Genomic DNA, 25,243 nt, shown 5'->3' with positions numbered 1-25,243 from the left:
GTAAGCATAATTTTTTGTTTCGATTTTCTAAAAATTAATAAAGATGTCTAGAAGTGAGGCATTAATTTAAAAATTAAAAATGTGAAATATTTTTACTGGTGAGAGACTTCAAAAAATTCATTTTAAATATGCATGAACATTTTTTCACAGTATTTGAGTATGTTTGGTCAGATTATTTTTACAAGCCTAAAAACTTACAGTATCTTAACTGTTAAATATTGCACATTTCTTTTAGAAAGTACACACATTTAGCAGGTTTAGAACTTTGAACAGACTTTCAGAAGATAATGGCACAGCATATTTATTTTCATAGTGATTTAGTGTAATGATTACGAACATAATTTGGGAAATAAATTAGCTTTAGCGAATTTTACTGTACATTTTTTATTTACGGCACATACCTTCATAATTTAATTGTGAAAGCTACGCATTTGCCTTTAATTGAAGCTTTTAGCATGCTTTACTTTTAATGTGCTAAATCGCTAATTTTTGTTCCTTTAGATATGATACAGTTGAAGGCATGTAAGGCGGGGAATTGTTTTTCCAAAGACATAGTAGTTTTACTATACAGGGATTTTTAATACTTAAATTTTGAATTTAAAAGAAGTTTTTTTTTCCCTTCGAGATGGAGCCCTGCTCTGTCACCCAGGCTGGAGTGCAGTGGCACGATCTTGGCTCACTGCAACTTTTGCCTCCTGGGTTCAAGCAATTCTGCTGCCTCAGCCTCCCAAGTAGCTGGGATTACAGGTGTGCACCAGCACATCTGGCTAATTTTTGTATTTTTAGTAGAGATGAGGTTTCACCATGTTGTCCAGGCTGGTTTTGAACTCCGGACCTTGTGATCTGGCGGCCTTGGCCTCCCAAAGTGCTGGGATTACAGGTGTGAGCCACTGTGCCTGGCCTAAAAGAAGATTTTGAAACATCATTGCATGTTTTCTCTGCAGTCTCTTATTTTCCCCTTGTAGTTATTTAAATAATAATTTAGGTAGCAAAATTACCTGCTCCTTCCCAAGGATAAAGTAAAATAAACATTTTATAGATGAGTTATATAAGTAGGACTAGATATTTAATTATATCTGATTTCTAATTTAATGTATTTACAATCACAATTATGTTGTTGAATAATCTTAAGTTGCTTAAATATACATATTCGGTTACTTAAGATGAGCAATTAATCGTTTTTAGATTATTTCTTTTCTAGAGCCTAAAAAAGATTTGTGGGGTGTTAGGGGACAGCGGGAATTACAGACTCTTTGAAAATGTAACAAAAGCTTTGGACCCTTTCACTGGAAGAATGCTGGCAAACACATTTGGTATGCTGTTTCAGGGCAGTCGCTGACACTGTGTGTGCTCAGGAGATCAGAGGCAACTATATTAAAAAACACCTGCCATTAATATGAGGAATATATTATTAAGAAGGATCTCATCAACTTTTAACCAAAAAAAAAAAAAAAAGATATTTACACTTGAAAATGTATTTCAGCTGACTCCACTTTTTTTTTTTTTTTTTTTTGGAGATGGAATCTCGCTCTGTTGCCCGGGCTGTAGTGCAGTGGCATGATCTCCGCTCACTGCAAGCTCCGCATCCCGGGTGCCACCACGCCCAGCTAATTTTTTGTATTTTTAGCAGAGACGAGGTTTCACTGTGTTAGCCAGGATGGTCTCGGTCTCCTGACCTCGTGATCCAACCGCCTTGGCCTCCCAAAGTGCTGGGATTACAGGCATGAGCCACGGTGCCCGGCCTCAGCTGACTCGCTTTTAAAATGCAGGTTCTTGTTCTAAGTTAATATGTCTGGTTACTTTCATTTTCAGAACTTTTGATCCATTGCTTAATTGGAAAAGTATATGGCAGGTTTACATGTAGAAGTAAGTTTTCTTTCAGTGAAGAAATATCCTTGAGTTAAATAACATTTTATTCTAATTTACGCAATTGCGAAAACAGATCATCTTAATTAAGAAAAACTGGTAGCCAGTATGCTGTCTTTTTTGTTTTGTTTTTAACATTTTCACTCTAGCTCTCTTGCCTGCTTCCTTTATAGAAAAGATTGCTATGATGGTCAGAAATATTTAGCCAAATAAGGAGAAAAGACACCATAATAAGAGTGTGTCAAATCAGGGTTAAAATGACCAGCCTTAAAGTTATGGGTGAAATCCAAGGTCTGGTTTTTGTTTTTAAGCCATGAGTTAATTCTTTTCTTAAAATTAGTGTATTACAATAAAATTTACCCATTTAAAATATAAACCTTAATGGTCAAAGCCTGTTTTTATGGAGACAAAACAAGCATGCTTTATTAACAAATTCAAAGAAGGATCTACCTCATTTAATTTGTCCCAGGGTATTGAATAATTTTCAGAGACTCTCAAAGCAAAGAGCCCACTTCTCTTTCTGCTCCTGGGCTGAAAGCATTAGGTACTTTGGTATTCTCTTGTGTCTCTGTGAGTAAGTATATTGGCCTTAACATAAATCCCACCTGTAAATATATCTCAGTGTGAAAAATTTTGAACCCAATTGTCCAAAGAGATTTGAGTCCATGGACTTTAACATCAACAGAGTGAACATTTTTTTTTATTTAACTATGCTTATGTGTATATTCTGGCATTTAAAAAAATATTTGCTTCTGATTATCTCTAAAGTATGTGTGTGTGTTTTAAATCATTGAATTTAAGACTGAAATATTTAAGTGGAATTATTATTATTTTTTTTTTTTGAGATGGAGTCTCTCTCTGTCACCCAGGCTGGAGTGCAGTGGCGTGATCTCGGCTCACTGCAAGTTCCACTTCCCAGGTTCATGCCATTCTCCTGCCTCAGCCTCCCGAATAGATGGGTCTACAGGCGCCCGCCACCATGCCCAGCTAATTTTTTGTATTTTTTTTTTTCAGTAGAGACGGTATTTCACCATGTTAGCCAGGATGGTCTTGATCTCCTGACCTCGTGATCCACCCGCCTCGGCCTCCCAAAGTGCTGGGATTACAGGCATGAGCCACCACGCCCGGCCAAGTGGAATGAATTTTCAAGAGCATTGAAGTTACCATAAGGGGCCTAGAAATACTCTGTATACCTATATAGTGCTCTAGGTATTGACTAGTAGTGATTTCCAGCATATCAGTTCAGTTACCAAAATAAATAATAATATTGTTCATTTTTGTGGTGTTAGTAGCTGTCTTAGAAGAGATTGTAACACTTGAAATTTTGGTAAAACTAAAAATACTCTACATACATTAACTTCATTACTCATTTTCTGTTTTTCATGTTAAAATGTTGTTTAAAGAACAAAATTAAATGATTTTCTTCTGATATTTTATTCTGTGAATGTATTTTGGGAATTTTTTTCCCCATTTTCCTTCTACACTTTATTTGGTATGTCATCATCCTTAGATTTGATATGTAGTAGGTTTAGAGAATATCTTTGCTTTTTACATTTTTTTCATAAGTTTTATATATGAAATATCATGGAAAGAAGTTCTAGGTTATAAATATATTAATAATGGCATATATACATTTATAGCATCTCTGTTTTCATCAAACTGTTTCATAGTTCTATTATAATTTTTATTCACAGACATTTAATGATTACCCTTAATATTCATGACAGGAGCCCTCTGGCACAAATGGAAGAAGAAAGAAGGGAGCAAGTAGCTAAAATTAAGAAGATGGAGATGGAGATGGAGCAGGTGTTTGAGATGAAGGTCAAAGAAAAAGTTCAAAAACTGAAGGACTCTGAAGCTGAGGTAATCAGTCCAATATTCCATCTCTTAGCAGACATTGTGTTCCTTTTTAAATAGTATCTTCAGTAAAATTTATAGATAATATAACCTTCTTATACATATTTTTTAAAAATTAATACCCTAGCATAACAAAATGGAGAAATTTCTACAAGCAAGCACTGTTTACAATAAAATAATATAGACTTCAATACATAAGTGCTTGGACATAGTGTATTAGGTATGACAGCATAATAGAGTACTTACAATGAATTATTAAAGTTATAATGAACAAGTGTGAGTTGGGAAAAATAAAATTATAAGCCATTCCATACAGGTGGCATAAGAACACTAAAAATGAGAGTTTGGGGTGGATGTATGCACAAAAACTAGTGTTAGGATAATAATAATTGACCAGACTTATTTGTGTATGAATGAAAAAGAGGGAAATAACCTTTACTGAACTAAAGACATGCCTGGATAAATTACACACAGTTAAAGGAGAGAAAATTAGGGAATGTGATATTTTTGCTAACAGGTTGGGCCTTATTTATAATGTAGTGTCAAGGAAACTCCTAGCGTCGCAACATTGGGCAGGGTAATGACAAAACATCCCAGCAGACATATCTACTATCTTGAAACCCTTCTAGATGTCGAGTTATACATTTAGTTTCTATTAGTCAAAAAGACCTTGGAGACATTTCCTTCATTAGGTGGCAAGAAAGAAAAGATGGAGAAAAGGATAAACTTAATATAAGAATCCACAGAGCAGTAGTTTGATAGATATCTGAGAATAGTAGGAAAAAAATTGGGTAATCCCAAAATAAATCAGTGATTTCAGTATGAAGTTTTCTCAACATAAATCTGCTATAATTAAAAATTACAGGCCTTCAGGAAGTGTCGAGTCTGGGACGCCCAGCGCGGGCCCGAGCAGGGGGAAGGGAAGCGCAGCTCGGTCCGCGTGGGTGGAGGGGACGTGAAGCCGCCCTGAGATGATGGTTGAGGAAGGGCTCTACGGCTCCCAAGCTAGGCCAAATGCCTCCGGCGGCCGCGCCCGGGCGCCCCTTCCCCTGTGGGGCAACCCTAGCTTGGGACGCGTGAACCACCTCCGTAGCTGCCCCACCAGCACCCCCAGCCGTGCGCCCCTGCACCATGCAGCTGCCCTGCGCATGGAGCCGCGAGGGACAGCAGGCCCAGCCCTCAGCACCACCTGCCTGCCAGGAGGTTCGGGAAACTGGCGCCGCAGCGGAGAGGGCATCTGTCCAACGCCTCCCCCGGGGCTCAGCTGCGGGCCCCCAGGCATAGGCACCCATGACCCTTCTGTGTTGTTTGTCTTTGTATAGTCTGCAGATGTGGATCCTGACTCCTGAGAGAAGTAGCTCACCGTGACGAAGCTGCGTTTGCTTTTATCGATTTGCAAATCAAAGAAGGGGGACATATTGGGAGAAGGCCCCCCAAAATCTGGCCATAAACTGGCCACAAAACTGGCCATAAAATCTCTGCAGCACTGTGACATGCTCATGATGGCCATAACGCCCACGCTGGAAGGTTTTGGGTTTACCGGAATGAAGGCAAGGAACACCTGGCCTGCCCAGGGCAGAAAACCACTTAAAGGCATTCTTAAACCACAAACAGTAGCATGAGCGATCTGTGCCTTAAGGGCATGTTCCTGCTGCAGATAACTAGCCAGACCCACCCCTTTATTTCAGGCCATCCCTTCATTTCCCATAAGGGATACTTTTAGTTAATTGAATATCTATAGAAACAATGCTAATGACTGGTTTGCTGTTAATAAATAAGTGGGTAAATCTCTGTTCGGGGCTCTCAGCTCTGAAGGCTGTGAGACCCCTGATTTCCCACTTTACACCTCTATATTTCTGTGTGTGTGTCTTTAATTCCTCTAGCACCACTGGGTTAGGGTCTCCCCAACTGAGCTGGTCTCGGCACTTCTCTTTGCCTTAAAAACAGGTACAGCGGACCTTCCTGGCATCAGAAAAAGGCCTCCAGAAAAAGAGACACAGGTACTAGCAATTCCAAATTATCCAGAGCCCTTCTAAGTTGTAAGATCTGAAAGAAATGTCTGCCATCTATATTCTCAGCCACACTTAGTTTCTTAATCTGCAAGATGGAATTAATAATAGTACTTACTTTATGATGCTGTTGCAGAAATTCACTGAGTTGCTACACGCCAAACACTGAGAACCCAGCTGGGCATATAATAAGCATTCTATTGCATGGCATTATTGCCATCATTTTTACTTCTATTACTGCTACTGCTTGTAACTGCTTGTAACTGTTTGTGCTTTTTTGATATGAAAGTCCACCATCAGGGAGCACTGTAGTGGAAAAGGTATTAGGCCAGGCATAGCCTTTAGTTCTCTGGCCTTGGGTCCTTCATCTGTGATATTCAGTTAACAATACCTAGCCAGTAGGGGTGTTAAAGATTAAATAAATGTGAGAATGTGCCTGTTGCTTAATCTTCCTCAAAGGGTTATGGACTCTCAGAGCCAGAAGAAGGTCATCTCTCCTTTGCTCCTCGTATGCTGGGATCTGCCACATCAATGGCAACCGCTGGGCCTCCAGAATTTGCTCCAGGGTGTTTGGAAGTCCTGACACCCTCCTGATCTTCTCTGTAACATGCACACTTTGGCCTGTGTCAGTTTGCTGGAACCACATCAGGCCGGCCCTCTTCCTGGGACAAAATTCTTTCTTTTTCTTTCTTTCTTTTTCTTTCTCTTTCTTTCTTTTTCTTTCTCTTTCTTTCTCTTTTCCCTTCCTTCCTTCCTTCCTTCCTTCCTTCCTTCCTTCCTTCCCTTTTCTTTTCTTTTCTTTCTACTGTGACATGATCTTGGCTCACTGCAATCTCTCTCTCCTGGGTTCAAGTGATTCTACTGCCTCAGCCTCCAAAGTAGCTGGGATTACAGGTTTGCACCACCATGCCCGGCTAATTTTTTGTATTTTTAGTAGAGACAGTGTTTCACCATGTTGGCCAGGCTGGTCTCCATCACCTGATCTCAGGTGATCCACCCACCTCAGCCTCCCAAAGTGCTGGGACTACAGGCATGAGCCACCACGCCTGGCCGAGAGACAGTTAAGTTATACTTTAAATGATAATAGGCCTCCCCCAAAACTCAGCTGCTTTTGTAAAGCTAATGGGAGGCCATCAGGCTGGGGGCAAGGAGGAGAGCCCGGATCCTGCTAAGGTGCAGACATAAACGAGTATCAGCCATTATTCTGGAGGTTATAAGATATGCACCTTCCCCAATTACCCCTGCAATCACACCATTATTGTAGATTGGCCCTTAGAGTATCTTTTCAGGTTTTTTGGCATGTCTGACACTCATGGCTCTACTTGGACCCACCAACCCTGCTCCTATGGCTCCACCCAGAAGCCATTCAGCCTAGAGGACAGCTCTGACCCCCCCTGTGATTTCATACAATCAGCAGCAAGTAACTGTTACCTCACCATCCCCACCCCTTCTGCCAGACTGCCTTTGAAAAACCTCTAACCTGTGAGCACGAGATGATTCCAGAACAAACTCTGTCTCCCATGTGGCATGACCAGCCTTGGGTCTCTTAAACTTTTTCTCCACTATAATGCCATGGTCTTTATGCAGCAGGCAGGAAGAATTCAGGTGGTTATAATTCCGTATGTGCTTTTTGAACATTTTTCTACTGGGCTATTGCTCTCTTCATAATGATTTTTTTAACTTCTCTCTATAAGGAACTGATTTCATCTGAAATTGAAGAGACAATCAGAGAAAAACTATAGACCACTCATGATGGTTGTTATATGTGCTTGGCTGGGCCATGGGTCCCAGTGTTTGGTGAAACACAGCAGCAGATGTCCCTGTGAGTAGATGTTGCTTTGAAGGTATCTTTTAGATGTGATGAACATTTGTCATCAGTAGACTTTGAGTAAGGCAGATAGCCCGTCACAATGTGGATGGGCCTTATCCAATTAGTTGAAGGCCTTTGAAAAAAGACTGAGATCCCAAACGAAGAAGGAATTCTGCCTCCAGACAGCCTTCCAACTCAAGTAGCAACATAACCTCCTCCCTGCGGCTCTAGCCTGCTGGCCTTTCCTATAGACTTCAGACTTGCCAGCCCCACAATCATGTAAGCCAATTCCTTAAAATAAATTCTCTGTCCTGTTTTTGCCCCCTCTCTCTTTCTGACAGCACACACATGCCCTCTTGGTTCTGTTTCTTTGAAGAACCCCAGGAAAACACACAAAGGAAAAACAACTCGATAGACAGAAGATTCTTCAATGACAACAATGGAAGCCATCTTCACCATTCAACTAAACTTGAATGGGATATTATCAAACTTAAAAAAAAATTATCAACTGATCGTGTAATCAGTTTCATCTTTTAAGACAGGAAATGAAATAAAGTATTTACAGATGAATGTAAAATGAACTTATCATTGCATCCTGAGCTACAGTAACTTCTGAGAGACCAAAAAAGCAATACTGTCTCAGCAAGATATTCTAAGATACAAGAAAGGCTAGTAAAATGGAGAGTCTATATTACATTTTAAATATTATCTAAAATGTAATTGTGAGATTCAAAAAGGCACAAGATGAAAACACTGGATAGGAATAGCATATAATGGGCTGGGCTCGGGGGCCCACTTGTAATCCCAGCACTTTGGGAGGCCGAGGCAGGTGGATCACCTGAGCTCAGGAGTTCCAGACCAGCCTGGCCAACATGGTGAAACCCCGTCTCTACTGAACATACAAAAATCAGCCTGGCGTGGTGGCATGCACCTGTAATCCCAGCTACTTGGGAGGCTGAGGCAGGAGAATGGCTTGAACCCAGGACGCGGAGGTTGTAGTGAGCTGAGATTGCGCCACTGCACTCCAGCGTGGGCAACAGAGCCAGACTCTGTCTAAAAGAAAGAAGAAGAAGAAGAATAGTATGTAATGGGGGGATAACAGTTCATGTGTGGTTTAGTCTAAATGGGGTCACGTAGTATTTAATACTTTGAATAATAAAACTTCCCCCAGAAGTTATGTGAAACAGGCAGGAATGTCTTCAAAACATCCACATAACCATTTATTTTTCAACTGAAATGGCCACAGAGTTTAGTCAAGCAATTTTTTCCCTTTATTTTTGTTAAATAAGATTCCAGAAAGTATAGTGCAAACACTCAGTAGAAAAGTTGCAATTAAGAAATGTACATTCACATTTAACATTTCAGTCCATTCACTTTTTTTAAAATAAAAATAGGACAAATTATTCAATTACTTGTCTCAATTTAACAATCTTGAAAAAGACTGGAAGGTACCCTACAGTGTTCAGTTGACATAAAAATAGACCCGTATTGATCATACAAATCTATCATGAGAAGTTACCCAGTGAGAGTGAGTTATTGTAATTCTGAATGTACTCATCGTGTTTCTCACTTCTACAGAAGCATCCTCAGTGAGTTGTATTGTGCGAGAAAATGACACCCTTGCCCACATCACTCTCCATTCCATAGAGGGACACAACCCTATCTAGCCAAACCCAGAAGAACGCAGGCGCTTACACAACTTTTCTCGGACAGTCGAGAAAATCCAAAAGTGGGCTTTGGGCTTACCTTAAATAGGAATGGAATGTACCACTACGAGATGGTCATCATAATAAGGACATTGTTGTTTGAGCGGGGGGTGTGCAATCAGTATAAATGAGGATGGCGGAGGAAGAGGAGTGGTGACTGAAGGGAGGTGGTGCATAATAAGTGCACGAGCTACACAAAGCTCGAGCTACACAAAGCTCAGGCTCCACGGGCCTCGCCTTGGCTCCCAGGGATGCTCTGCAGCCAGCGGGCGGATGACCTGAGGTCGGGCCTGGGCCTGTCCCTTTGTGCATGCGGCGTGATTTCAAATTCAAACTAAGTTCCACACCATTAGGAGTTTTCACGGCATGCAGTTCCAGAGTGCAAATGGCTTGCATATGTGCAGTTTTTACAGGTGGAAGGCAAGACCATACATCTCTCCCACACTGGGCGTGCCTCCTAGTGGACAGTTGTATGCAAGAGGCGGTGATGGGCTCCCTCAGGATCCCCCAATGTGGGAATGGTCCCCTGAGACTTGTGCTTCGTGTGCCTGGGGCCCAGAGTTGGGTGGGGGGTTGCTGGTGGGAGGTGAGAAACAAGTTCTGGCTGCCGTCGGGCCAGCTTCCCACTGCCCTCACCTGGGAGGTGGATGCCCACAGGCAGGATGCTCTGGGCTACTGTTGCACAGTCCTGCACGAGATATTTATTCAGCCCACAAGATTTAATAGATCTCTTGGGAGTTCATCTAGGCTATTATGTCTGTTTAAACATTAATTCTCAATAAGTGCCTGAAAGCTCTTTTGAAAGCAACCTATTTGAAGGTCTGAACCGCCCGGTACCAGCAGGAACCAATGCCCAGGAGAGGGTCAGAGCACATGTGCTCTGGTGGTTGTCAAATCTCTCACCATCCATCATAAGCCCTCTGAACTCCTGCTGAAATCGGCCCTTTGAACATCCTCTAACCCCTGGGAAGGCACCCGGACCCACCTTTACCTCACCAGCAGCATATGACAATAACATTAAATGGCTCTACAGCAGAGGAAGATGAAAGTAAAAGTAGCAAATACAACCAATGGCCTTCCCATAGCTCACAGAACTCCTGAGCAGAAGCTGAGCAGGGAAGAAATGGTGTGTAGTTTCAGGGTGTCTGGAGGTGCCACCATTTCTCCCCATTTGATGTCAGAGAGGCTTTACAAAAAAATAAGGCAACAGCTCTTAAGGAGATTCTGTATATTTGAAATTAGACGCAATGACAGGTTTCGCTCAAATATAGTTTTAGAATATAGTCTGATATGACAAAGTAGGGATTTTTAAAGCCTAACATTTTATTTCCTTGCTGGGGATCAGTTAGTAAAGAAGGAGGAATTCCTCTTACCCAAGAGGAATTGCATTGCTTTAATTTAGCAATGTGAGGTAAGGCCTGCCAGTGCCAGGGAGGACTTAGGCACCTGCTCTGAGGGCGGGCAGTTGGAGCGAGTCTCACCCATTGCGGGGACAGCCTTGGCTGCATTCAGAACCCACCTGCTGAGGTGGCCCCTCCACCACTTGGGCACTAGCATGTGGATGAGCTAGAGTTCTCCATCAAAACCAACACAAATCTTGCAGATGTTGCTGTTAGCAAAGAGGCACTAAACATAATGGAAAACACAAGGGCTTGGAACTGGATAGAGCAGGAATGGAACCCTGGTCCTGCCTCTCAGGGCTGTGTGACTTTACTCAAGTCCCCAACCTCTCTGGGCCTCAGATTCTTCACTGTCAACATAAGGAGTATAATAATACCTCCCTCCATGGGCTGTTTGAAGTAGAGAGTGAGGTGAAGCACACAGAAGGTGCATAGTTACTGTAAAGCCCGACTTAGATACTAGTGATGAGTGTTTCCTTTATTTGTGGTCACGGCAAAAGACCCATGGAGACTGTGGTAACCAGGTGGGAGAGCGACAAGTGCCCTTCCCCTGTGGTTATCGGTGTATTAATAGAACATATTGAATCTGGTGACGGGTAGAAGGAAACTCACTAATTTCACAAAGAATGAAGGAGTTGTGCCTAAAATGAGTGACCCCTGTCAGGTACAAAAACACAGCATTAGGCCAGGTGGCTACCACTGTGGTCGATTTTCTGATTTCTTTCTTTCTTTTTTTTTTTTTTTTGAGAGAGTCTTGCTCTGTCGCCCAGGCTGGAGTGCAATGGTGCAATCTCAGCTCACTGCAACCTCCGCCTCCCGGGTTCAAGCAATTCTCCCACCTTAGCCTCCCGTGTAGCTGGGACTACAGGCTCCCGCCAACACGCCCAGCTAATTTTTTTTTTGTATTTTTAGTAGAGACGGGGTTTCACCATGTTGACCAGGCTGGTCTTGAGCTCCTGACCTCAATGGATCCACCCGCCTCCGCCTCCCAAAGTGCTGGGCTTACAGGCATGAGCCACTGCGCCCGGCCTGATTTCCTGATTTCAAAGATGTTTTTCCCAGTCCATTGTGAAGCACAACCCAAGAAGGTCACCTGTCTGTTGTTGCTCTTCCACTGCACAGCTGAGAGAGAATGAAGCTGACAGACACTCAGCTGGGAAGGCCTGGCCTCCAAATCGGCTCCTGGTAACTGGAGGGGAGCTGGAGGGCCGAATTCCTGCAGCGGTCACCGCCCTGAGGCTCTCTCTACAGCCTCTGCACACCGAGAACCCAAAAAGAAAAAATAAGTAACCAAACCAAAGAAAATGGAACCTAGTTAGTGCCTCAATGCCCCTGGACTTCAGTGCTGATGTAGTAGATGATAAAGTTGACTTGATGTCTGAGATGCTGCTGCCCCTGCCCAGACCTTCTCCTCTAATAACAAGGATTTTCTGAGGGAAATCACATCAGGGCATTCGGGGATGGTTCCCCAAATGCCCTGCGTGGCAGTTATCTGACTGTATTCAAATTTAATTTTGTTCCTCATATGAATCCCATGAACAAATGATTTTCATTTGGCTTATGCTATGCAACACACAGATGTGCATGACACACACGACAGAAACACGTGTTCACACATGTAATGCAGGCACACACATGGATTTGAATTAAGCACAGCCTCTAGTGGAGTATCTATTTTTTAAGGTAGTGAAACAGACTTCATATGGAACAGAATAGATTAAATTTTCAGGGAAATTTAAAAATACAAATATATGCATTATTTCACAATGGCATGTTGTTTAGGGAAGTCTAGCCCCAAAATGTGTGGCAACTGAAATGGAATCTGGTGTTTATGGAATGGACCACGCAGGTGACAGATATCCTCACATCCTAGTACAGGATCTGCTTTCACTAAGTGTATGAACAAACAGAAGGATAAGGCAGGAAGCCCCTAGAATACTTTCCAGTGCGTGTCCCAGGGCTCCTCTAGGTGAGCGGAGGGCTCCAAGCTCCCCACCGTGTCTGTCTGGGGCTGTGCTCATGGGCACTTGGCCCTGCGCAGGAGGAATGTCTATGTGCAGGAAGCAGCTGCCCTGGCTGGGGCTCTGCCCCCTGCTGCTGGCCCCCAGCCCACCCTGTCTGCCTCCAGAGACCCCTCTGCCTTCACAGCCCTGGGAGCCCTGCATCCAGCAGCCCATGCCCGTGTCCTCTCCCAAGGCCGGGGCCTGTCCTTCAGCTCCCTGCTGTCAGTTCACACAGAATCACAGACACTGCAGCTTACAGACAAACCCCGTGTGGCATTCATTCCCCAACGGCAGGGCCTGACCACACTCAGATCACCCAAATCCATCTGTGAAAAACCACAACTATGAGAAGAGCCTTCCTTCTGCTGAGCCCACTGAGCCTTCCTCAAAGTCTACCCTGGGCTCCATCCTGGCCTGCCCTCCATGCAGGGGGAGCAGTCCTCAGGCCCTGCCCCTGCTCCTGATGCCCCCACCCAGGGGGGCTCCTTGGCTCCAGCCCCTCCCCCCAGGCTCAGTCCAGCTGGGATGCTGGTCTCAGCCCACCCAGCTCTGCTTGACTTGGTGGGTGCAGTGAGGGCCGGGACTGAGAAAGGTTGAAGCAACTCCATTTCCCCTACTGCCCATTTTTGCCAACTACGGACACCTGCCTGCAGCATCTCCTGCCTGGTGCCAAAGAGCATGGAATGATTTGTGCACTGATGGTTATTTGGGGTATGTGAGTTCCTCGAATAAGACCCCTCTCTTGGACACCCCCAAGCTCAATTTGAAGGCCTAAGCCACCCAGTTCGACCTTCTCACACCCAGGCAAGCCTAGCATGGGGCCCCCAGGCCTGAACAGGTGTCCTGTTCAGAGGGCTCTTCTACCAGGATGGTACCAGCATTGTGGAAGGTGAATGGGGACAGCCTTCAGAGTGCCACCATTTCCTTAAAATGGCCTATCACAGGTAAGCCTTGATATGTTATCCTTTAGACTCTGCACCAAACCAACAAACTGCAGCATACCACCGTTGGTCAGTGTGAGGCCAGTACTGAGGCTCATCAATTGGAACGGATCTTGGATGGAGTGGGTGCCTTTGCCTCCTTCCTTCCTCATCCAAGCAAGGGTGTGGTGACAATGACCTGATCGGGGTTTAACGCCGGCTCTGTCTGCTCACCAGACCTGGGGTGCTGAGCTCTGACCAGCCTGGGCAGCCCAACCCACAGGAACTGCGGTTTCATAGCTGGGTCTTCAGGAAGGGGTGGAGGCTTTGGGAGTGGCAGCTCCCCGCCTCCCACCACCCCAAGCCAGAGAATGGGGCAAACTTGTATGCATGGCTTATCTCTAAATTACTAATCTGCTTCGGACCAGACTCATCTCTACAGTATAGAGTTAGAGTTATTGCTTCTATGACAGGTGTTCCAGAAGCCCTGGTGGCTTTAAAGTCTGAGAAACACGGGCTGGCAACTTGGGTTGCTGGGTCTGTAGGGGCGTCCTCCTGCAGGATACAGACACCCCGCAGGCATGGACCACCCGGGCCGGCATGGTCCCTTGCAAGCAACTGGAAGCATTCCGGGGCTGTGTTCTACTCTACGGCATCAGGCATGAAAGGCATGCAAGGGTCGCGAGGGGAGCACACAGGGTCATTTCCAAAGGGCCACAGCATGGCCAAGCAAGGGCTGAGGTGGGTGTGGGGCTTGTCTTCATTTTTGGTACGAGTAAACAGGCAGCACCTGTCACTGGTGCACTATTTACAAAGCCTCTTCAATAAATAATTTAGAGAGAATCCTACCCGAATGGCTCTAACATTTGTACATGAATATTGTACATGATTAAAAATAAATAAGGCAATATAATACAGTTTTCCCACAAATAAAAAGGAAGTTGTTTTTCACCAAACCCCAAGGGACATTATGGCTAAACACAGTTCCTGAACTCCCAGGAAGTGGCTGGGGTTTGGAGTTGCTGATGATGGAGATGTTTGCCCCTGAAGTGGAGACCTTGCCAAGTCTGCCATGGGGTCCTTTCCAGAACAGTCGTGAGCCCAGAGAAGGCAGCATGGTCCCCGCGACGGCTTCCTCTCACTGCCCTACAAGTGGCCACACCTTGGGCAGCTTCCAGGATGTACATGTGTGACCTCCCGGCTCTGTGGACCCCAGGCACAGCATGGCGTGGCTGGCTCTCTTCTCAGTCTCACAGGCCAAACCAAGGTGTCGCTGGACTGGGCTCCACTCACGCCTGGAGGCTCTGGGGCGAATCTGCTTCAGGCTCACTTGGGTTGTTGCCAAACTCAGCTCCTTCTGGTTGTGTGAGCGACACCCGGCTTCCTTGCTGACTGGCGCTGGGGTTGTGGAGTGGCCTCTGGTGTTGGCTCCTGGCCCCTTGTCTTTAAGCCAGCAATGACGGCACCATCTCTGTGACACTTCGAATCTTTCCAGGCTCTCCTGCCTCCCTCAGCCATTCCAAGGGGTCACTGAGCCCACCCAGATAAACCAAGTTCCCCTCCCATCCTTAGATCCCTAACCCTAATTCCACCTGCAAAGTCCCCTTTGCTGTGTGACAGCACCTGGCCACAGGGCTTAGAACTGGGGCATGGACACCTTTGGGGTTCACTCCTCTGTCTACCCACCACCTGGATGGCCGAAGCTGGGCAGCGGCACTGGGGGCAACAGGGTTGGCTGTGCCAGGGGCTCTGCACCCTTCTCAACAGCTCGTGGGTCAAGGACAGCACCACGGTGAGCTGGGGGAGCCAGGGCAGCCACACTCACCACCACCGCACTACTCCCTCACAGGCTCCCTGTGGCTCCTGTCTGAAGTGACTGCTTTAAATCCGGCTGGGATAGACAGATGAGGATGAGAAAATCCTAGTGGAAAGGGGACCATAAGGACAAACCATTTGTCCTGAAGAGAGGAAAGCACAGGAGCAGGGACAAGGCAGGGCCTGGAGGAGAGGTTGACAGCAGGGCCCCAGCCAGGATCTCAGCCCACAGCCAGCTCAGATGGACCCTGGGTCCTCAGGATGAGCTCAGGAGCCCTCGATGGCAGCCTGGAGATTCCACATAAACATTAGGTCCTGTGGATGTCCCAGTAGCAGCGAGAGGCCCTGCAAGCACCTCCTTCTGCCCTAGGACCTCACGGGAGCCCAGCCCCCACCGGCACAAGGTGATGCCAGAACACCAGGAACATGAGCGGACAGCGACATGAGGACCACCCAAGGAAGATGAAAGGTGCCCGAGCTCTGCCCTCAAAGTCTCCAGTGGGTCCATGGGGTCAGCCTACCTGTGGGGTCATGTGGCCTGGCCTGGGAGCTCCCTGTCATAACCAGGGGAAGGTGCTGGAAAGGCATTGGTCAAAATCACTCTGCAAGAAGGTGTCTGGAGACCATCCTGCCTCTTGCACCATCACAGAAGCCAGAGCCTAATCCACACCCTAAGGACAGGCAGACAGGGGCCCCCACATGCAGCCTCTACCCGCCTTCCCTGCCCGAAGCCATCCACCCTGCCCACCTCTGTCCGGACTCCTGTCTCAGCTGGAAGCGCCAGGCATCACTGCACTGGCCGCCCTGCAAAGCCCTCAGGGTCTGGCCTCCCCCAGCTATGGCCCAGGCCCCTGCTGCCCCCACATGGCCACACAGCTGAGGCAGGATCAGCCCCTCCCTGTGCAGGGGGCTGCCTCTGACGGCAGCAGCCAAGGACATCACCCACCTGTGCGGACAGGGATCAGCCTGGAGCAGGTCCCACACACAGGTCTACACTCCAGGGAAGGAAGTCTGGGCTTCTCTCTGCTCCTATTCTGAAAAGTCGGGGCCCTCAGGAAAGGGTTACAGCTGTTGAGGAGCAGTGAGGAGGCGGACCCCCAACCCTGCTGGCTTTGAGCATAGGCAGGGCTCAGGCCTCATCTGCAGTCCACAGAAACCTCTCTGACCACATCTCAGAGCAGTGGGTCTTTAGACATTCCCCTACTATGGTGCCTACCCAGAAGCTTCCCTCCCATTTCTAGCTGCCTTCCTCCCTGTGACCGAGATCCAAGGTTTCCACATGCCAGACCTCTGTCCACTATTTCTGGATAGTGCCTTCCCAGTGGCCCTCCTGGACCCCGTCCCCATCATCCTTATTTTCATCTTCATTGTGACTATTTAGACATGCACATAGGAGGTTGTCAGACGTCAGACGTCAACACTATCACCTGCAGTCAATTTCCCTGCAAATTACAACAGGGACACCTGCACTCACGACCATCAGCCAATTCTGAAACTTCGTCCTGGAGGGTTGGTTCTGCCGGAGAAACAGCATCTTCCATCAAGGAAACTTGCTCATGGGTGTGACAGCCGCTCATATTCAACAGAAGTGGAGCCTCACACTGTTGTTGCTAAATGTAAAGGATCCACGATGCCACAGGGAAAAGAAGAAATGACACCCTTCGTTTTCTCTGAACAAACACAGTGCCGGTGCAGGATGGGGAATGTCCAGGTGTTTTAGGAGCTGGAAGCCATTGGCGGAGGGGTGGAGAATGCACAGGTGCAGCAAGAAGCCGATGCTGGCCATGGTTGTGGAGAGGGGGTCACAGGGCCCCCCTGAGAACTCCAGAAGACCTGCCTCTGGCTCTTAGCAAAAAACCACGCTTGAAAGCCAGCAGCCACCACTATCCATGCAGTGAGAGGCAGCTTCTCAATTCTCCCCAGACGGTCCAGTTCAAGAGTGGACAGCTCTGTATTGTGCCTGTGGTGTGAACAACCCCAGGCCTTGTGACCTTCCCAGAGAGGCCTGACTTCCCACTCTGGCTCTTGAAGCCGCTGCCCAGGGCTGGAGCCGCCTGTATGTCAGGTCCCACCTGGGCGGGGCGGACAGGGCTGTCTCAGAGGGCACACTCTCGCAGAGCTCCTCAGTTGCTCTGCCAGCCACACCTCAGTGGCTCTTGCTGTAACCCTGGGATGCTCTGAAGGTCCTTACATTGATGCCGACCTGGCCAAACCTGAACAGGCTTGCTGGAAAGAAACAGTGCTCCCTACGCCACGGAGGGAAGGATGGAGTGGACACCTCTCCAGGGAGGCCTGGAAGTGTGCACAGTCGGGTGTCCTCCCCTCACCGAGTCACTGCTGTGCTGTGCCTGCTCGGTGGTTGGCCCTCGGGCCACAGGCCATGCCTGGACAATGCTCCTCCTCCACCCTGGCAAGTGGCTCCCTGCTCTGCTGGTCTGGCTGGTCCTGGCTGGAGCCACCGTGGCCTGTGTCACCCCCGGAGCATTCCCACCCCATGTGCACCCCAGAGGCCCACGTGGGCTCCACTAAGCCTCCTTCCCAGCTGCTGCAGAGGGCAGGTACTGGCCTGGGGAGTGTGGAGGGAGCCCAGCCCTGACTGAGACGCCAGGCATGGGGCACACGGGGGGACGTCTGCCCTGAAGGCCAGCTCTCCCAAATGGACACATTTTCCGATCCAAGCCCAGGGACCTGATTTGGGAGCCGTTTCCATCAGTCCTGCCTTCTAGAAAGTATGTCAACATCTCGCCTTTGCCCTTGACACTGACTTTGCCTCGGCACACAAAGTGGTAGGGGCACCTTCTCAGCAGCCGGTGGACTTCCTCAGTCACCTGTTGATGGAGAGAAGTGAGTGTTACTTCAGGGCAATGAGGGGGACTCCTCTGGGAAGAGACCAAAACACTCCATCCTGCATCTGTTGCTGTCCACCCTGACTGCCCAACCCTGGCACTGGGATGTGGCTTTCCCAGCTCAGCCTGGCAGCCAGGGCCCCTACTCTTGCTGAAATCACTTGGGTCACTATGTTAAAAAAGACACAGCCCTGCAAAGACAACCCAGCGGACTCGGAGGAGTCTAAGGGGCCAGCCCCAGGGGAGTCTCACTGCCTGTTCCCTGGACAATAGGAGGAGGCAATGTTCACTGAGCCAGAAAGGGTGGCCCAGGAAGCACCCAGACAGGCAGGCAGTGGGGCAGGGCTTGCTTGTAGGGACCTAGCACCAGGGTCTGGATGTGAGCTTCCATGGTGGCTCCATGCACTCCATGCCAGAGGCTGTGTGGGACCCAGCTCCAGATGCTAGAACAGAGAAGAGTAGGGTAGACTCTCTGGGTTCAGGACTCTTGGCACCTCAACAGCCAGGGACATTTACAAGTAGGGCATACAGAATGTAGGGGGCAGAAGGTACCCCCCTCAGCTGGAAGGGGCAGCAAAGAGTAGAGTCTAGGGCAAAGCCTGACTTCCAACTCACTGCTGGGGGCAGCAGCATGGTGTCGGTGGGGGTGCAAACCAGCCAGTTCACAGGACCCCGGCATAGCTGCCTCTGCAACCCTGAGTCAGGGGAGGGAGGGACCAGCATACGGAGGGCAGCAGGCAAACTGTCCAGAGAAAACAGAGACATTTCTTGACAGGTTCGCAACCAGTATTCTAGCTCAAAGAATTTCTGCTTCACAAAGTTAGGAAAAAGATAAAGGATGAGAAAATAGTTTCTACTAAATGCAATGAGTCCTGTGAACAGAGGACATGACTGGTATCTCTGCGTTATGTTGGAGGTGTGATCTTGGAACTTCCTCTCTTCCTCCCTATCTCCCTGGCTGCTCCTCACTCTCCCACACACACAGTCCATTCAAACCCTGGCATCGTTTGTTAAAAGAACCAAATCCATGCCAATCCCACCTTCTAATACCCAGAGTTGGGGAGGCTGGCCCCCGTCAGTGTGGCAGGGGTGGTAGGAAGCCCAAGCAGGGGAGGGAGGACAGAGGCCCTGTGAGTGCAAGGGTGATATCCTGGGCAGCCAGGAGACACCTGGCTGGGGATTGGACAGAGGCCACCAGTGAACAGTCTGTGTGTTAGGCAGGGGCAAAATAGGACAGTGGCAGGCCCAGATCTGATTTTAGAAACTTAAAAATGCAATGTTGGTTTGGGGCAGGGGCCAGGCTGGGGTGGGCAGGATGGGGCTCCCATGAAGTTCTCCCCTGGCAAGTCCAGTTTTGGGGGAATCCTGCAGAAGGGTGCAGGATACAGTCATTGTAAAAAAAAGTACACTGTAAAAAAAAAAAGGTGTAAGTATATATATATTTATATATTTAATATTAATTTAATATATTTAACATTTAATTTTATTATTTAAATAAAATTATAAAATATTTAAAATTTAAAATAATTTAAAATAAAAATTTTAAATATAAAAATTTATAAAATTATAAAATTATAAAATATATTATATATTTAATATAATATATAAAATATATATTTAATATATTATATAAAATATATATTTAGTATAATATATAAAATATATATTTAATATAATATATAAAATATATATTTAATATAATATGTATTTATATATTTAATATAATATGTATTTATATATTTAATATAATATATAATATATTTATATATTTAATATAATATATAAATATATTTATATATTTAATATATATTAATAAAATTAATATTAATATTTAAATATTGTATATTTTAAAAGTACATTGTAAAAAAGTATAAGTATATATATTTACACTTCATGCTGTATATATACACATATATGTATATACACACACGTATATATACACACATATATGTATATACACACATATATGTATATATACATATATGTGTGTGTATATATGTGTATATGTGTATACATACGTGTGTGTGTGTATATATATATATATATATATATATATATATATATATACAGCACGAAGTTCTGGAGGTGGATGGTGGTGATGGCTGCACAACCATGTAAATATATTTAATGCCACTCAACCGTACACCTAGAAAAAAGATGACAAATTCAATGTATACCTTACTGTGATAAAAGAAATTTTAAAAAAGAGAATGCAGAAGTGCAGCACTGCTCCATGGAAGCCCCATCTATGTTTTGAGCAGGAGAGGAGAGCTCCATGAATATTTTGGCCTACCTGTCCCTTAAACTGCCCCCGTGAATAGCTGCTGTCACGTGCCTGGGGACCAAGCCTTCCCTCCATGGCCTCTGGAGGCCTGCAGTTCCCAGCGAGGGTGGCTGCAGGGCTGTGTGGCCCCTCACAATCTCCATCTTAGTTTTAAGGGCTTCATCCTGGTGGTCATCAAGACCGAGTCAAGTTTCAAATTTGTTCCAAGGGAAATCCCAGAAGCCGAACCACATTCCTCCACACTGAGGAAAAGCAGAGGCTGCTGCCTTCTAAACCTTTCCATGGCTTTTAGAGGGTGTCAGCCACCATGTGTCAGGCCACCTCAGCTGCCCACAAGTTCCTCAGATGAGGTGGACATGCACAGCACCCTCCCTTCAAACACACAAGAAAGCCCTTCCTTCCTATGGCAGCTGGTGGAGTCCGGAGTCCTGGGATGTGCAGAGTGAATGAGAGCCACCAGGCTGCTGGGACCAGCAGCAGGACCCAGTGACTCAGTGCTCCCACCACTGCACTTGGTCACTCAGGAGCCAGCCCCCAAGGCTAAATGACAAACCAAACAGCAAAATCAAGATGCCCGGGCCAGGATGCCCTCCAGAGCAGACAGACCGAAATATGCAGCTCTTTCTGCCCTGCCACTTACGGGCTGTAGACTGGGGATTCAATTCTGGCCCCCTGTGCCTCAGTTTCCTCACCTGAAGAATGGGCACCCATGCCTTAGGGGTTTCTTGGTGAACTGACCTGGATTCTGCCCTGGACCCCTGTGCTATCCATCCGACTGGCCACGTTGACTGTGTTTCCCCAGATGTCGTACTGGGGCCTGCGAGCGCCAATCACTCCAGCCACCACAGGGCCAACATTGATGCCTAGAAAACAGCCAGCGCATGACCTGTCATCAGCGGGAAAAGTGTAACTCACCCCACCAGGGCCACCAAATGCACCTGATGCTGCTCCTGGTGGAGAAAAGGCTGCTCCTTTCAGGGCTTTGTTTCCTGGGGTCACCTAGCACCAGGCTCCTTCCTGAAGCATCACACACAGCACCAGAGAGGCAGCTGCCCTGCTGCACGGGCTCCCCTGGGCAGGGTCTCCTCACGACACTGTCCACTGCACTGGGGAACAGCACTGGCTGTTCAAAACGAGTCCTGATCCTAAATAAAAGTCCCCTTTCCTGGAATAGCAGCCTCTGTGCTGAGCCCTACCAGGGGAGCCACTCAGAAGTGTGGCCTTTCAATATCTGTGATTACAGGGTATGTCTCCAAGTGCATCCTCTCTTCCAGAAAAATAGCAGCTCCGGACCTTTTCTCAGAATGTGACCTTATGGCTATTTTAGAGTATGGGCCCCATAACTAAGCAAGATGGTGCAGAATGCTCTGAAGGGAGGAGAGGGAGTATCTTCTCTTTTTGTAGCTCAGTGTCCAACTGGCCTCCGGACAGCTGCAGACCAGCTGGACAGCATCGTGACAACCCAGGCACACCCGAACTTGAGTCACCCCTTGTGCAACTTTCTGCAAAGCACTCACCCTCTCTGAGCCTGGACTTCCTTCCCTGTAAGTAGGGCACATACCAGGCTGTGACGCCTGGCCCGTCCTCGGCAGGACAGAGGGGGACCAAGCATGCTGTCAGCTCTCCTGTTACAGCCTGCTGGCAGCCACCTCCTGCAACTGGGGCTTTCTGGCCTCGACCGAAGCCACTTCCTATCTTCCCCTTCCATACTTGTGGACTAATTTTTCTGAGCTTGTCCTAGAAAATTCCTCTGACATCCTGGGCAGTGGGGAGCTGGCATGGCATAGGAGGAGCCTGAGAGCAGGCGGCACAGTGGTGTGAGCTGGGGAAGGTGGGCATGGTAAACTCAGAGAAGAACCCCAAAGGACCACTTCCCAGATGGCTGGAGCTGGTGGGAGTTAGGGAGCACCCTCTGCTAACCCCAGACTCCCCACCCACATAAAGAACACTAGGCTAGCACCGGCCTGATGGGCAGAAGGGCCCCGAGAGATCCTTGTCCAGCCCCACTGCATGACCAGACACTGAGACACAGGGCTGGGCTTGCCAGCTGGTCTTGTCATTGGAAAGTGAGGAGCAGAATTTCCCCGACCCACCATCAGATTGATTTTCAGGCACATCAGTAGCTCTGCCGACCAGAGCCCAGGGCCCAGCTGGCTCACTCTGCCCCTGCCCTCTGCCCAGACACCATGCCTAAAGCCGAGCTTGCTTTTCAGGACATCAGAACTCCACATGCTCTAAATGGATCACCTACCACCCTTCACACTCACAAGCAGCTCCAAGTTTTGTTTTTAAGGCTACTGGATGTTTGAATTCGAAAACAACCATGAACCTCTAGTTTAACTGTATCCTGGACTAGTAGAATTTATTTCTGGTAAACTGTCTACATCTCAAGAAAAAGTGAATTTATGATTAAAAAAAAAAACAACAAATCATAGTTTTATAAAAGCTAGAAAGGAACTGGGGCATCCAATGGTTTTTCCTCCTCACGACACAGGTGAGGGAAGGAGCCTGGAGAAGACACAGGGCGGCTGGAGTCCGCACAGTGGGGCTCCCGTCAAGGCCTCCTTCTGGACAGCCCATGTGGCCTCAACTATGTAGCCGTGGCTGGCGAACAGGGAAAAGGGCATTTTACTTCAGCTAAGTGTGGACTTGGAGGAGCATCTGAACGTCTCCAGGACAATCAAGATTTCTAATGTGTTTCCTGAGCTAGACAATGAATCTTCAAAGTCTAAGTCACTTTCTGAAGCATCTTCACCTTCCACCAGCAGCTTCCAGGGGCAACTCGGTACACAGGTCCCCATGCCCTCCTGGGTGGCACCACCCTCCTTCCTGTAAGACCAGGGTACCTCATCAGCTGATCCCACCCCTAGGTGGGTGTAGGAAGGTGTTCCACATGGATGGACAGGATAGGTTTAGAGCCACATACCAACTCGGAGGACAAAGTCGTTGTAAGACTGGTAGTTGATTTCATCCAGAACGTCAAACATCTCAATGGCAAAGTCCGCCAGCGTGCTCAGGTGGGAGGAGATGGACTTCTTAGCCTAGGTGTAAACAGATGGGGTCATTACATCTGGGGAGTGCAAGGCAAGAGGGGGCCAGGGACCAACCTGCAGTGCCCAACAGCTGCACTTTCAGAGGAAGGCACTCTGAGTGCCTGGCTATAGGCACATTTATCATTCCATTCTACAGGTAGGAGACTAAGAGAGAGGCAGGGTATTGGCCAAGCCCCAGGGGCTCCTGAGGGGCAGAGACAGGGCCCACCCAAGGCTGCCTGCAGGAATAGGGCAGGGCAGCCCTTTTGAGTGGGAGACCAGGTGCTCAAACTCCTGCTTGGACAGCGTTGCTAATGGCCATTGCAAATGAGCAAAACAAGGACAGAGATGCATGCCAGGGAGTAGGCAATTTCCCTCCTTGAGATTGAGGCTACATCGTCATGTATGTGTGTGACAAGGTCCTTTCTCTTGTGAAACAGTAACAGTTGTAAAGTCTCTAATTTTTATTTTTAAAGGGAATTTTATTAGTTCTCACAATCAGGAAACTAATGCTTTTTAAAAATTAACAGACTTTATTTTTAGGGCAATTTTAGGTTTATAGGTAAGTTGAGCAGATTATACAGAATTGTCATATATCCCTTCTCCCCACAGTTTCGCCTATTGTTAACATCTTACCTAAGTGTGACACATTTGTTACAACTGATGAACCAATATTGATATTATTAACCAAAGTACATAATTTAATTAGGGTTCACTCTTGGTATTGTCCATTCTATGCATTCTAAATGCATGACATTTATCCACTATGACAGTATTACATACAACAGTTTCACTGCCCTGAAAATCCTCCCTGCTGTCTGTTCATTCCACCTTTCCCCCAACCCCCAGCAACCACTAATCCTTTTACAGTCTCTACCGTTTTGCCTTTTCCAGAATTTCATACAGCTGGAATCATACAGTATGTAACCTTTTCAGACTGGTTTATGTAGCCAATTGTATTTAAGGCTTCTCCATGTCTTTTCATAACTTAATAGCTCATTTCTTCTCACTTAATAATATTCTACCTTATGGATATACCAAATTTCTTTATCCATTCACCTACTGAAGGATACCTAGTTTGCTTCCAGTTTTTATTATGAATAAAGCTGCTATGAATACTCATGGACATAAGTTCTCATTTCATTTGGATATATACCAAAAGTGCAATTGCTGGATCATATGGTAACATTATGTCTAACTTTGTGAGAAACCACCAAACTCTCTCCCACAGTGGGTGTCCTAGATTGCATTCCCACCAGCAATGAAGGAGAGTTTCTGTTGCTCCACATCCTCACCGGCATTTGTCTTGTCAGTGTTTTGGATTGCAGCCCTTCTAACAGGTATCTAGTGATATTTTATTGTTGTTTTCATTTGCAAAGCCCTAAAAACATACAATGCTGAGCATCCTTTCATATGCCTATCTGTCATCTGCATCTCTTTTGGTGAGGTGCCTGTTCGAATTGTTTGCCCACTTTTTAACTGGGGTTTTTTTTTCTCCCTTGTTGAATTGTAATGGCTCTTTGTGTACTATAGATACAAGTCCTTTATCAGATAGGTGGCTTGCAAAGATTTTCTACTAATCTGTGACTTGACTTTTCATTCTCTAAACAATATTTTTCACAGAGTAGGAGTTTTTAATTTTCATGAAGTCCAACTTACCAATTTTTTCTTTCATGAATCATGCTTTTGGTATTG

General features: G+C 46.7%; 1 protein-coding gene and 1 pseudogene across 3 annotated transcripts in view; one reads left to right on the top strand and one right to left on the bottom strand.

The window, feature by feature from the left end:
- Window positions 1-8,120, top strand: part of SEPTIN7P2 (septin 7 pseudogene 2) — a 45,232-nt pseudogene extending 37,112 nt beyond the window's left edge. Inside the window, exons 10-13 of the transcript NR_024271.1 lie at window positions 2,881-3,075; window positions 3,594-3,729; window positions 5,671-5,723; window positions 7,427-8,120. The product of NR_024271.1 is annotated as a septin 7 pseudogene 2 (transcript). The remainder of the gene's footprint in view (window positions 1-2,880; window positions 3,076-3,593; window positions 3,730-5,670; window positions 5,724-7,426) is intronic.
- ADCY1 (adenylate cyclase 1) overlaps window positions 8,791-25,243 on the bottom strand; it is a 148,977-nt gene continuing 132,524 nt past the window's right edge. The window contains exons 18-20 of one of the 2 annotated variants that reach the window (NM_021116.4): window positions 23,443-23,557; window positions 21,255-21,379; window positions 8,791-18,214 (exon numbers count right to left, since the gene is read on the bottom strand). In NM_021116.4, coding sequence (NP_066939.1) covers window positions 17,912-18,214; window positions 21,255-21,379; window positions 23,443-23,557 — 543 coding nt within the window. In that variant the 3' untranslated portion in view covers window positions 8,791-17,911. The remainder of the gene's footprint in view (window positions 18,215-21,254; window positions 21,380-23,442; window positions 23,558-25,243) is intronic. The other variant, XM_005249584.4, reaches the window with a different exon arrangement.

Source organism: Homo sapiens, chromosome 7, assembly GCF_000001405.40.
Source record: "Homo sapiens chromosome 7, GRCh38.p14 Primary Assembly".
Lineage (NCBI taxonomy): Eukaryota > Metazoa > Chordata > Mammalia > Primates > Hominidae > Homo > Homo sapiens.
Note: the sequence above shows the minus strand (reverse complement) of the source record. Positions and strands in the feature narration are given on the sequence as shown.